The sequence below is a fragment of the Homo sapiens genome, chromosome 8 (genome assembly GCF_000001405.40).
Source record: "Homo sapiens chromosome 8, GRCh38.p14 Primary Assembly".
NCBI classification, from domain to species: Eukaryota; Metazoa; Chordata; class Mammalia; order Primates; family Hominidae; genus Homo; species Homo sapiens.
Genome location: NC_000008.11, coordinates 28,444,953 through 28,459,485, shown reverse-complemented (window position 1 = coordinate 28,459,485; position 14,533 = coordinate 28,444,953). Strand labels below are relative to the sequence as shown.

The window sequence follows — 14,533 nt, the reverse complement described above, 5'->3', positions numbered from 1 at the left end:
TCACCACGCCCAGCTAATTTTTGTATTTTTAGGAAAGACGGGGTTTCGCCATGTTGGCCAGACAGGTCTGGAACTCCTGGCCTCGGGTGATCCACTCGCCTTGGCCTCTCAAAGTGCTGGGATTACAAGCGTGAGCCACTGCGCCCAGCCTATGATGCATTATTATGCAACCATTAGTAAACATGTTTTGGAAGAACAGAGATACTATAATATTTAAAATAAAGAAAGATTTTAAGTTATATATAGAGTTTCCCAATTTTCTTTTGTATATACTTCAAATAAAAACTGAAAGGAAAAGAACTCTACCAGGTTGTCAATAATGGTCATCTCTGATTTACGGGGTCATGGGTTAAACTTCTCAGAATTTTTCATTTTCCACAAGGATAATATTATTATTAGAGGGAAATGTTATTTGAAATAGCTAATTCTATCATCTGCATGCACTATAAGTCATAATTTCTTCTCACTACTGACCATGGGCAAGACACAGACCATCATTCTTCAGCCAGATTTAAAGTAAAACATATAAAGTCATTGCTGTTTTAAAAAGATGGAAGGTTGTGGAGGAATTGTGTCTTGTAAATTTGAAAGCTCTTACTTACCTTTCAATTCTCTTCATTCCTCTCTACCTTTAAACAAACAAAATAACACAAAAACACAAAAAACAAAAACTGTATTTGCCTTGGGAAGAAGAACAACTTAAGTACTCAGGTCAAAACGTGATCTAAAGAAGAGGAGAAACCCTGTCTCTACTAAAAATACAGAATTAGATGGGCATAGTGGCGCATGCCTGTAATCCCAGCTACTCGGGAGGCTGAGGCAGGAGAATCGCTTGATCCCGGGAGGCGGAGGTTGTAGTGAGCCAAGATCGCACCACTGCACTCCAGCCTGGGCAACAAGGGCAAAACTCTGTCTCAAAAAAAAAAAAAAAAAAAAAAAAAGAAGAAGAAGAAGAGGAGAAAAGGAATGAGAATTGAGAGACTTTTCTCCCCCTTCCCTTTCCCAAAAACTCCATCTCTCCATTGAATTCTGAGCTAATTTACCATGTGGAGATGAGGTGGGTGTTGTTTCGTTTCTGGGTCAAACAAACTAAATGTGATTTCTGTTGCTGCCTGCAGGGCTGTATCAAATCCTCTAAACTTTTTCCTCCTTCCCTAACCTTTCCTGAATCTATTATTTCTTCTAATTGTGCCCTACTCTTTCCTCAACATCTCATCTTCTGCACATAAAACAAACATAGTAGGAACTCAATAAATGGTGGGTGGAAGGAGGGAGGCAGAGAGTAATAGAAAAATAGGTGTATGGATAGCAAGGGCCATTACAGAGTGTTCCCCTTTTGGGGGTGAGGGGGCACTCAAAAATTATTAATTATTTAATTGATCTTGAAAAAGAGGCCAGTTTTCTAAGGGTGAAATTTGGGCTTGAAGGTTGTATGTCATCTTTGCAACTCTTACAACTAAGACACTGAATCCTTAGTTTCAGCTTTATATGTGAACTTGATCCTAGTTTCTGGCAAGACTTATTCAAACCCTTGGGTAAATTATTATAAATATTGCTACACATAGTAGGGCCATCTCTGCCATTTGCTGGATGGGTGGGATTAGCCATAATGCTGTGGAACTGGTATGTACATAATAAGTGCTTTATGCTTTGTAGAATCCTAAAGGCTCTATACATCACATAGTATCAGTGATTATATTCCATTTATAAAATTTATATTTAGTGAAATTGAAAGAATGGAGGTGATATGGTTGGGCTATGTCCCCACCTATGTCTCTTCTTGAATTGATGCTCCCATAATGCCCAAGTGTTGTGGGAGGGAATCAATGGGAGAAAATTGAACCATGGGGGTGGTTTCCCCCATACTGTTCTCATGGTAGTGAGTCATTCTTATGAGATCTGATAGTTTTATAAAGGGTTTCCCCTTTTGCTTGGCTTTCATTCTCTCTTGCCTGCCACCATGTAAGACATGCCTTTCCCCTTCCACCATGATTGTGAGGCCTCCCCAGCCACATGGAACTGTGAGTCCATTAAACGTCTTTCTCTTTATAAATTACCCAGTCTCAGGTATGTCTTTATCAGCAACGTGAAAATGGACAAATACACAAGGGAAAAGGAAGCACACCATGAAAAGAATAAAAAAAGTGCAGACCTGAGTTTATATAATCCTTATACAACTTTTATATGACCTTCAGAAACCTCTAGAAAGTTCCGAAGTCTATCTGAGCCTCAATTTCCTCATTTACAATATGAGAGTAATAATTGTACTTACCTCCCTAGGTTGCTATGAAGATAATTAATAGGTGCTCCATAAATGTTAATTGACTCTGATTCTAAATCTGAATTAGCATTTAAAGCAAATGCTACTTTACTTTAAATCTGCCTGGGTAGGAAACACTTCAGGTAGGAGGTAACCATTTAAGCTATGGTTTGGAGGCAAAGGACAAAAAAGTTTTCTCAGGTCCAGGATGACAGCTCAAAACCTAGAGAAAGTGGGCATGTAAACTGAAGGGGTTGTTTGATTTGGTTTTGTTTAATTGTAATTGTTTTTCCAGGTGTGCTGGCATTGGAAGAACCTTGCTGAGCTGGACCAGCTCTGGATGCTGAAATGTTTACGGTTTAACTGGTACATCAATTTCTCTCCAACTCCCTTTGAGCAGGGGATCTGGAAGAAGCACTATATTCAAATGGTGAAAGAACTTCATATTACCAAGCCTAAGGTGAATTTTAGACAGAAAGCCACAAGCTTGCAAACATTGGCTCTTTGCAAATTCTAGAACTAAGAATAAAGGATCAGACTGGAAGTTGGGGAAGGGAGGTAGTTCAAAGGACATATACTATGATTTCAAAATTCTCCTTTTCTGAGACTTGATAGTTGTTTTCAAGACATTCATGTTAGTTGAGAGCCCTCATTTGCCACTCCCAAACCACAGTTGCATCCCGGCGGTTAGGACCATGGAACTTCTTTCTCTGTCTAGGTCCCTGGTTTCTGTGTCTCTGACAGTGACATCAGACAGTTCTGACATGGGGACTCTGTGGGTAACATGAAGTATTTGTTACCTATGGGTCTTCAAGTTTTACTTTACTAATTCAAATTTTCTGTGATTCTACCAGGTGAGCTGAAGTTTATTTTTGTATCGTTTATAAGGAAAAGTTTTCTAATAAATGAGTCATCAGGGAAGGGCCTCATGGGCATATTAGAGTTCTTAGTTTTTGCTAGGAACTAAGCAATGTAGAGCACTTACATATATTCATAAAAAGTAAATAATGCAAGAATTTTTTTTTTCTAGTGGCTTCTTAGGCATTCTAACCAATGCTTATATTCATTCGTATAGTCCCAGCTAATGAGATAATTTATGGGAAAATTTTATGAGCCCTTTGTTTATAGCATTATCTATACACATGCAGAGTTGTGCATCATTTCATACAATAGATGAGTTCCTGAAAAATTATGTGTAAATTAAATTTTTAAAATGATTTTTTTAAAACCACAGGGGTATTAAAGCTTGTGAAAAAAACAGCAATGAATCCTGTTAAAATTGGAGAATCCTTTTGAAATATGAACAGTCGACTCCTAGCTTGCTTATTTTGGTTTAGGCTTTATTGTGTTTTCTTGAAATAGATTCCACCTACACTTAATACAGTAATAAACTATGCATAATTAATATTGTTACAATTGCAATGATAAAAGTCTTTCTGATTTCAGTAGTTGGTATGCTCCACGAGGATTTCTTTTAAAAAGAGAGTTTTAAGTGAAGAATTTTTAAAGTTCTCTTGAAAATTCCCGTAGCTCTGACTCCTTTCCTAGTGAGACTTCTCTTGCATCTCATTCTCAGTTAGGGAGCAATAGCTGAAGCTCAGGCTGTTCAGGGGCAGAAGAGAGAAAAGTGATTAACCAACTAGTAAAATGAAAAGAAGTTGTGAGTTTTATATATGTAACTGACTTTGGGGCCAGGCACAGTGGTTTATGCCTATCATCCCAGCACTTTGGGAGGCCATGGCGGGAGGATTGCTTGAGGCCAGGAGTTTGAGACCAGCTCGTATAACATAGGAAGACCCTGTCTCTACAGAAAATTTAAAAATTAGCTGGGTGCAGTAGCACACTCTTGCAGTTCCAGCTACTTGGGAGGCTGAGTTGGGAGGATCACTTGAGCTCAGAAGGTTGAGGCTGCAGTGAGCTGTGATTGTGCCACACTCCAGCCTGGGTGACAGAGCAATACTCTGTCTCAAAAAAAAAAAAAAATTAGCTGAGCATGGTGGCATGCACCTGTAATCCCAGCTACTCAGGAGGCTGAGGCAGGAGGATCACTTGAACCCAGGAGGTGGAGGTTGCAGTGAGCCGAGATCAAGCCACTGCACTACATCCTGGGCGATAGAGCAAGACTGTCTCAAAAAAAAAAAAAATCAATGTAATTCATGAAATAAAAGAGAAAAAAGTGCATGTTTCAGTAGCACATATACTAAAATTGGAATGATGCAGAGAAGACTTGCAAATTCATGAAGCATTCCATATTTTTTTTAAAGAGAGAAAAGATATATGATCACTTCAATATATCCAAACAAAAGCATTTAACAAAATTCAACATCTATTCATGATTAGGAAAATTCTCAAAAAGACTTCAGGTGATGTGAACAAAAATTTTGTTTACTTAATACAAATAAGTTATCACAGATTTCACTATTACCTATTTTGTTAAAGTGTAAGCATTTTGTACTATATAGAATTAATGATCCTTTTTTTTTTTTTTTTTTTTTTTTAAGACGGAGTCTTGCTCTGTCGCCCAGGCTGGAGTGCAGTGGCGCCATCTCGGCTCACTGCAAGCTCCGCCTCCCGGGCTCACGCCATTCTCCTTCCTCAGCCTCCTGAGTAGCTGGGACTACAGGCGCCTGCCACCATGCCCGGCTAATTTTTTGTATTTTTAGTAGAGATGGGGTTTCACCATGTTAGCCAGGATGGTCTCGATCTTCTGACCTCGTGATCCGCCCGCCTCGGCCTCCCAAAGTGCTGGGATTACAGGCTTCAGCCACCGCGCCCGGCCAGAATTAATGATTTTTTACATATAACTACTAGCATTTATGCCTAAAATTTCCCCCTGAAGTTATTTTTTATTATCATATGTTATTTATTCCCAGCAGTATTAAACTAGACCTCTTCCAGCAACAACAGATTTAATTCAATAGAAGCTCAGGGAAATGAAATGAATGTCCATTCTAAATGAGACTTGCACAAAATACTGAATACTAAACCAATAATGAGCTATCAATTATGTAAATATGAAATGTCTTCTTAATCTGCTTCTAGGTTACAGTCATTCATTGAATAAATAAATTTCACTCTGTCGCCCAGGCTGGAGTGCAGTGGCACAATCTCAGCTCACTGCAACCTCTGCCTCCGGAGTTCAAGTGATTCTCCTGCCTCAGCCTCCCAAGTAGCTGGGATTACAGGCATGCGCCACCACACCTGGCTAATTTTTTTGTATTTTCCGTAGAGACGGGGTTTCACCATGTTGGCCAGACTGGTCTCGAACTCCTGACCTCATGTGATCCACCCTCCTCGGCCTCCCAAAGTGCTGGGATTATAGGCGTGAGCCACCACGCCTGGCCTGAATAAATATTTATTAAACACTGTTGTGAGCTAATTGCTAAACATAGAAAGATCCCAACCCTGCTTTCACAGAGCCTAGTCTAGTAGCCCAGGACGTAGACAAATAAACAAATAATTACAACACTGAGTACTAAGCGTTATCCTGTAATAGAATTGTATACAAAGAGCTGTTGAAACAAGGGTGAGAAACTAACTGATTATGCTTGGGGGAACTGGGGAATTTCTTGATTTTCACCAGCAATGGAAGCAAACTGATTTACCAAGCAAAGCTTCCCTAATCTCTTAATTAACAAAAATTAAGCCCTTAATGGCTTCTCAACATACCAGTAGTACTTTCCTTAGGCTACAACCACATAAAAACGTTATGAATTTCACACACACAAGACAGGCTTTCAGTTTTGGAGATTAAAGCAAAGTATTCTTTGGGAGTGGTTGAGGTTTTGATAATTGATAAAATTTCTAGTCTACCTCTCTGCAACTCAAAGTTGTTTCTATGTGTTAGAAGTCATGAGAGCTGGAGTACTTTTTTGGGGGAATGTGTACTTTTTATGAATAAATTAGCTGCAGTTGTGACAAACTAGACAATGGCAGAGTACAAGAGTAGGATAGGGAGGTCTTATGTGTGGGCTTGAAGCAAGACAGTCCTGTATTCAAATTCTGGCCCTCCAACTTACTACTTTTGTAGTAGTGGGCAAATTAATTAGTTTCTCCTATATTCTATTTCCTCTTCTGCAAAATGGAAGTAGTAATGATTACCTTATAGAGTTATTGTGAAGGTTAAACAATATAATGCATGAAAACTGCCTCAGACAGTGACTGCAACATGGCAAGTACTCCTGGAGTGGTGGCTGCTATAATCATTATCACCATGGTAATGGTGATCGTGATGATGACGATGATGACATTGGTGATGGTGATGATGATGGCAATGATGATGATGATGATATTCCTTTTTTTCTTTTTTTTTATTTTTTTATCCTTCAGCCAACTCACATCAATATATTCTTTGTTTTGTTGTTGTTATTATTATTATAGTGTGTGGTTTTTTTGTTTGTTTGTTTTGTTTTGTTTTGTTTTTTGAGATGGAGTCTCGCTCTTGTCACCCAGCCTGGAGCGCAAAGGCACCATCTTGGCTCACTGCAACCTCCGCCTTCCAGGTTTAAGTGATTCTCCTGCCTCAGCCTCACGAATAGCTGGGACTACAGGTGCCCGCCACCACACCCGGCTAATTTTTGTATTTTTAGTAGAGACGGGGTTTCACCATGTTGGCCAGGCTGGTCTCGAACTTCTGACCTCAGGTGATCCGCCTGCCTTGGCCTCCCAAAGTGCTGGGATTACAGGCGTGAGCCACCGCACCCAGCGTATTATAGTGTTTTGAGAACATAATTAACTTTCTTCTTCTAGACACCCCCAAAGGATGGATTTGTAATCGCTGACGTTCAACTAGTTACAAGCAATTCTCCAGAGGAAAAACAGTCCCCTTTATCAGCTTTTCGGTCCTCTTCCTCTTTAAGAAAGAAGAATAACTCAGGGGAGAAAGCACTTCCACCCTGGCGATCTTCTGATAAGCACCCAACAGATATCATTCGTTTTAATTACCTAGACAACCGTGACCCCATGGAGACTGTCCAGCAAGGGTAAGAAGCTCCATGCTCTTCTCAACTTCTTCGTTTTTAGAAATAATTTATTGGCATTTCAGTATACGAAGAGATGGAAATAGAACTTACTGTGAAATACAAAAGCTTTTCAGTACATAGAAGCAAAAAGTAATAGAGCAGGATACTGACCATTACTAGCAAATTTGCTCTATTGGTTACAGTTTGTTTGCATTTTGTAATAGTAATGATTTAACATTGCTTCTTCTAATTTTTTTTTTTTTTTTTTTTGAGACGTAGTCTGGAGTCTTGCTCTGACACTCACCCAGGCTGGAGTGCAGTGGTGCAATCTCAGCTCACTGCAACCTCCACCTCCCGGGTTCAAGCGATTCTCCTGCTTCAGCCTACCAAGTAGCTGGGGCTACAGGCGACCGCCACGATGCCCAGCTAATTTTTGTATTTTTAGTAGAGACAGGGGTTTCACCATGTTGACCAGGCTGGTCTTGAACTCCTGACCTCAGGTGATCCACATGCCTCGGCCTCCTAAAGTGCTGGGATTACAGGCATGAGCAACTGTGCCTGGCCTCTTCTAATATTTTAATATTAAATTGCAGTCCAGCACCAAAGGGTTCATTCTAGCCTTTATTCTTTCTGTATTTGTGACTCCCTTTTCTGATGGTAAGAAACCTGACACTCATTAGATTTACTGATTGTAATATATATATATAAAATATTTACTTATAAATACATTCCGAAAGTAAAGCTGAGTAAGGTGGCATGTGTCGGTAATCATGGCACTTTGGGAGGCCGAGGCAGGAGGATCACTTGAGCCCAGAAGTTTGAGACCAGCCTGTGCAATATAGCTAGACCCTATCTCAAAAAACAAAAAACAAAAAAAAAAAAAACAACAACAAAGAGACAGAAAGAGAGAAAGAAAACAAAGAAAAAAGATTTTTGGTTCTTTGACAAACACACCAGAAATCTCTTCATGAGTATCTTTCAAACCTAAAAACATCCTGTCAGGAGCCAATAGGGCTCTAGTACAATATCTTAAGCTGAAAGTGACTCTTCAGCTCTCCCCAGAGATGCAGAATATGTGAAACAGCCTTGGATCTTTGGGGTTTCCTGGTGGAGCTCCTTTGTTGTTTATTAAAATATTGTACTTGAAAGAAGTCTGGGTGAGTGCGGGGATGGAGGTGCCTCTTTCTCGCTTAAATGTTTCCCTTAGTAAAGGACATTACCTTTCACTTCTAAGATGAATGAAACACAAATCAAGGACCATTGGACTGGATCTGTCAAGGATTTAGGCATTTTTTAAAAATTGCTAAGCCTTTTAAAAAATTATTATTTTTATTTTTTGTAGAACGGGGTCTCATTATGTTGCCCAGGCTGGTCTCTAACTCCCAGACTCAAGCGATCAGACTCAAGTGATCCTCTCACTTCGCCCTCCGAAAGTGCTGGGATTACAGGCATGAGCCACCGTGCCTGGCTAGTTGTTAGGTCTTCATAAGTTTTGGTGCCTACTGCTGGCATCATGGACAGTGCCAGCCCAGTACAAACCAGCACATAGGTACAAGAAAGGCTGAGGTATTACTCCACAGAGGTCCAATTTCAGAGGCACATAATTGAGATCAGAGTCCTGGGAATGGAGCAAGCCAGAGAGACTGAGCTGGAGTCAGGTTGGTGACAGAAAAATCAAGAGATAGTGCAAAGATTAAACAAATGAAACGGAGCAACCCTGAAGCTCATTTCCCCAAGTAGACCTGACACCCGAGACATTCACTCTCTTGATAGCATCTTTTAGAGCACAAAAGTTTTCAATTTTGATGAAGTCCAATTTGTCTAAATTTTTGGTGTCACATCCAAGAAATCATTGCCAAATCCAATGTCACGGCAATTTTCCTGTATATTTTCTTCTAAGAGTTTTGTGATTTTAGTTCTGCAGTTTAGGTCTTTGACCCATTTTGAGTTAATTTTTGCATATGGTATAAAGTTGGGGTCCAACTTCATTGTTTTGCATGTAGATATCCCGTTTCCCCAGCACCATTGTTGAAAAGACTGTCCTTTGCCCCACTGAATAGTCTTGACACCCTTGTTGAAAGTCAATAGACCATATATGTGAGGGTTTTAACTCTGGGCTCCTTATTCTATTCTATTGGTCTCTATATTGGTCTTTACACCAGTATGACACTGTTTTGATTATTGTAGCTCTGTAGTACATTTTAAAACCAGAAAGTGGGAGTCCCCCAATTTTGATCTTCTTTTGGGACGTTTATGCAAATCGCCCTTCTTTTTTTTTTTTTTTCTTTTTTTTTTGAGACAGTCTTGCTCTGTCACCCAGGCTGGAGTGCAGTGGCATGATCTCGGCTCACTGCAACCTCTGCCTCCTGGATTCAAGCCATTCTCCTGCCTCAGCCTCCCTAGTAGCCAGGAGTACAGGCACGCACCACCACGCCCAGCTAATTTTTGTATTTTTAGTAGGGACGAGGTTTCACCATGTTGGCCAGGCTGGTCTCGAACTCCTAACCTCATGATCCTCACACCTCAGCCTCCCAAAGTGCTGGGATTACAGGCATGAGCCACCGCACCTGACCCGTATCACCCTTCTTTATTGGGCCAAGGGAGCTGAGCTGAGAGGTTGGAGTGAACTCCCAAGAAGATCAGGCCAGGTGTGGTGGCAAACACCTGTAATCCCAGAACTCTGGGTGGCTGAGGCAGAAGTATCACCTGAGTCTAGGAGTTTGAGACCAGTCTGGGCAACATAGCAAGAACCTGTCTCTATAAAAATAAAATAAAATTAGCCAAATGTGATGTTGCATGCCTGTAGTCCCAGCTACTCAGGAGGTTGAAATGGGAAGATTGCTTGAGCCCAGGAAGTGGAGGCTGCAATGAGCCATGGTTGTGCCACTGCACTCCAGCCTGGGTGACAGAGCAAGACCCTGTCTCAAAAAAAAAAAAAAAAAAAAAAAAGAAGTCTACATATTGCATTCGATCTACATGTCACTTCAGCATTTTCTTTTCTTCTGTTTTGTCCATAGATTTCCCCTCTGTCCTTTTTTTTCCTTGCAATTTGTTTGTTATAACTATCAGATCATTTATCCCAGAGAGCTTCTCACATTCTGGATTTTGTGGATTGCACCGCCCACATGCATCTTAACAGGTTCTTCTGTCCCCCGTACCTGGTTATACTGACAGTCAGACCTAGAGGCTTACGTATATACTGAACAGGGATATGTACTTCCGTCACAACGCACATCATTTCTGGTTGTCTGTCTCGTGTTGGTAGCCATGGATACTCATCGCCTAGATCCATTACATCAGGCAAACTTTTCCTGTAAATGGCAAGGCAGGAAATATTTTAGTCTTTGCAGGGCATATGGTCTCTGTCACAGCTGCTCAACTCTGCCATTGTAGCCTGAATATAGTAATAGACCATGTGCAAGAAATAAGCATGACTATGTTCCAATAAAACTTTATTTACAGAAATAGGCAGCAGGCTGGATTGAGCCTGTGACTGTGGTTGGAGGATCCTTGCTTTATCGTAATACATACAGGAGTTTTAGAAAAGAAATGCTAACATTAAAGCAAGTGGTATGATTACTGAAAACAGTTTGACTTCCCTGTCTGTGTTTTTATCTCTCAGATATATTCTATCAAGAATATTCAGACAAATTACTGCATTAAATTCACATGAAGTAACTCCTTTGTGTGTAGTAATGCCACCAACTCAATAGATATATATTTGTTTCATTTTGCTTTTCAGATTTTAGGTATTTTTCACTTCATTTTGTTTTATGATTTTGAGAAAAATTTAGATGATTCCAAAATTAAATATACAAAATAAGCTATACTTGGAGAAATCTAACTTTTGGTTCCTGTTCCTCCATATTACCTGTTCCTTTTTTTTCTTTTCTTTCTTTCTTTCTTTTTTTTTTTTTTTTTTTTGATTTAGGGTCTCACTCTGTTGCCCAGGCTAGAGTGCGGTAGCACAGTCATGGCTCACTGCAGCTTGGACCTCCAGGGCTCAAGCGATCCTCCCACCTCAGCCTCCTGAGTAGCTGGAACTACAGGCATGCACCACCATGCCCAGCTAAATTTTTTAATCTTTTGTAGAGATAGGGTCTCACCATGTTGCCCAGGTGGGTCTCAAACTCCTGGACTCAAGTTATCCTTCCCTCTCGCCTTTCCAAAAAGCTGGGGTTACGGGCATGAGTCACCGTGCCCAGCTCACATTCCCTGTTTTTGATCAGTTCACATGGGAATCCTACTTACAGGTAACTATTTTTCATTTTATGGTTTAATCTTTCCATTTTATTTTATTATTATTTTTTTGAGACGGAGTCTCACTCTGTCGCCCAGGCTGGAGTGCAGTGGTGTGATCTTGGCTCACTACAACCTCTACTTCCTGGGTTCGAGTGATTCTCCTGCCTCAGCCTCCCAAGTAGCTGGGACTACAGGTGTGTGCCACCACGCCTGGCTAATTTTTGTATTTTTAGTAGAGATGGGGTTTCACCATGTTGGCCAGGCTGGTCTCGAACCCCTGACCTCAGGTGATCCACCCGCCTTGGCCTCCCAAAGTGCTGGGATTACAGGCGTGAGCCACCCCATCTGGCCATACTCCTTCCATTTTAAAAAGTACAAGTAAATACATATGCACAATATATAGAGGCAGAGATCTTAATACCTTCTTCTTGAAAGGAATGGCAGCACCCAGTACATACCGTCTCATCCACCCTTCTTTCTTAATGTAACAGTATATCCTGGAGATCCTTCCACAGTTGAATATAGAAACATCCTGCTTTCCATTTGCAGCTCATAGTACTGCATTGTGTGGAGATGCAGGAGTTGATGCAACCAGTTCTCTATTGATAGACATTTGGCTTATTTCCAGTTAAGTGGAGACAATCTTTTAAATCACAGGAACAACAAACTCAAACAGACAAATAGCTATGCAAACCACCTGAGTTTTAAAAAGATACTTTGTAATTTTCCCACTGCTTTCCAATTTACAGAAGAAGAAAAAGAAACCAAATGACCCCAGACTTCAGCCGACAGTCACATGATAAGAAAAATAAATTGCAGGACAGAACTAGGCTAAGAAAAGCACAATCAATGGTAAGTATTGTTTATGAAAGATTCATCACCATAACATTAATGAAAATCTCCAGATCTCTAATCCTATTTGCAAAATTGAATTCATTTATTTAATCAGAATCATGGAGTGGTGATTTAAATTCGGGTTTCTGACACTGACTGGCAGAGAAGCCATGACCTTGAAGATACACTTTATTTAATCTCTCTGAGCCTCTGTTTTCTCATCTGTTAAAAAAAGAAAAAGACTGGATGAACTGATGTGTATGAAATTGCTTTGAAAACTGTATGATATAAGGGGAGTTTTTTTGTTTGTTTGTTTAAGACAGAGTCTTGTTCTTGTCTTCCTGGCTGGAGTGCAATGGCATGATTTCGACTCACTGCAACCTCCGCCTCCTGGGGTTCAAGTGATTCTCCTGCCTCAGCCTCCCAAGTAGCTGGGATTACAGGTGCCACCACCATGCCCAGCTAATTTTTGTATTTTTAGTAGAGACGGGGTTTCTCCATGTTGACCAGACTGGTCTCCAACTCTTGACCTCAGGTGATCCACCTGCCTCGGCCTCCCAAAGTGCTGGGATTACAAGCATGAGCCACCGCGCCTGGCCAAGGGGAGTATTTTTTTATCAGTGGTTCTTTCTTCTGCTGAGTCCTTTGGGGCAGGGGGAGGTGCTATCAGAAATTGCTGTCTGTAAGTGAAGGTTCTCCTCATCTAAGTGCATTTAGGCCAGGCATGGTGGCTCACGCCTGTAATCCCAGTACTTTGGGAGGCTGAGGCAGGAGGATCACTTGAGGTCAGGGATTCGAGCGCAGCCTGGGCAGCATGGCGGAACCCTGTCTCCACTAACAATACAAAAATTAGCTGGGCGTGGTGGCACATGCCTATGGCGGGTGCGGGGGAGGCAGGAGGATGGTTTGAACCTAGGAAGCAAAGGTTATAGTCAGCCAAGGTCGCACCACTGCACTCCAGGCTGGGCAACAGCGTGAGACTCTGTCTCAAAAAAAAAAAAAAAAAAAAAAAGGAAAAATGCATTTAAAGTAACTTTGGAAAAAATGAATTAAGAACTTTTCCCTTCCTAATTAAAAAACAGCGAATTGACTACCTAATAAAGCCAGTAATTGTGACTAGGGAGCATTATCATTGCCTAGCAGAGTTTCCCAAATCGTGGCTCCGAAGCCCTGTGGCTCTCTTTCAGCACATTATGCAAGTCTTTGGCACGAAGTAGAAAGGAATAAGGGTGGAATTCAAAGTTCATATATAGTAGTAAGGATTTAGAAAAGAGATGAAGATACACACTCAAGGAAAATTAATATAAAATGGATGTCAGCTGGGAGAGGAATAAGTACGTACTCAGGAATAAATCACTTTTATAGCTCTGCTTTAAAGCTCTATTACTTTCTGTTAAAATGTATTTTCAAGTGTTATGTTGCAAAAAAAAGAAAAAAGAAAGAGAGAGAGAGATGAGCTTCTTTAAACAGGGCCATCTGAATTCTGTAGGGCCAGTTTTGTTGGACTGGATGAGGCTTACCATAGACATGTGTCCTGATGCCCAAGGGAACGGGGGAGCTTAGAGCAAAGCAGTAAAATTGTCAGTGAAGCCATTAATTGAGAAAAATAACTTTATGAGGCTTATCACATGGGCCATTATGTCGTGCTTCTGCCTGGTTTCCAGCCCCTGATAGGCAAGGAGTGGAAGAGAAGTCCATGGGAGAACGGGGAATTTGAAGGACAATAAAAGTTGATGGTGATACATGCTGAGAAATTATCAGCACAGTCAAACATTTCTCCTGCTTCGAAAACACAAAACCCAAAGCTAAGCCATCCCCATGGGCTTTTGACATTAACCATCTGTCAAACCCTAGCAGGAACTGCTTAAGTGAAAGCATTCATTATAAATTAAAAAGTTAAAAAGTTGCGCTAATTAAGCCTGAAAGGGAAACCAGGGTACATTAAGCAGTGAGAGAAGAATAGCTCTTCGTGAATGGGACTCATGATTGTATCTGTCTATTCTTGTGTTTTTTGTAAATATACTAATTATAATCACTATTTATGTTTCGTAGTTTTGATAAAGAGCATACGGCATCATTAAATCCCCCAAAAAGTATGCTGCGATATTTTGACTCATGCCGGTGATGAGCTTGCCAAGGACAAGCTTGGCTGTTTGGGATACAAGGCGGGTGTGACTCAGTTCCTCTCTCCACAGGATGGTAGTTTGCCCTCATCGGCCTCCTAAGTGATGCAAGA

General features: G+C 40.8%; 1 protein-coding gene across 2 annotated transcripts in view; it reads left to right on the top strand.

Moving 5' to 3' along the window:
- Nucleotides 1-14,533, top strand: part of FBXO16 (F-box protein 16) — a 61,818-nt gene that overhangs the window by 30,744 nt on the left and 16,541 nt on the right. For both annotated transcript variants that reach the window (NM_001258211.2, NM_172366.4), the window contains 3 exons: nucleotides 2,556-2,720; nucleotides 7,010-7,242; nucleotides 12,213-12,315. In NM_001258211.2, the coding sequence (NP_001245140.1) occupies nucleotides 2,556-2,720; nucleotides 7,010-7,242; nucleotides 12,213-12,315 (501 nt within the window). The remainder of the gene's footprint in view (nucleotides 1-2,555; nucleotides 2,721-7,009; nucleotides 7,243-12,212; nucleotides 12,316-14,533) is intronic.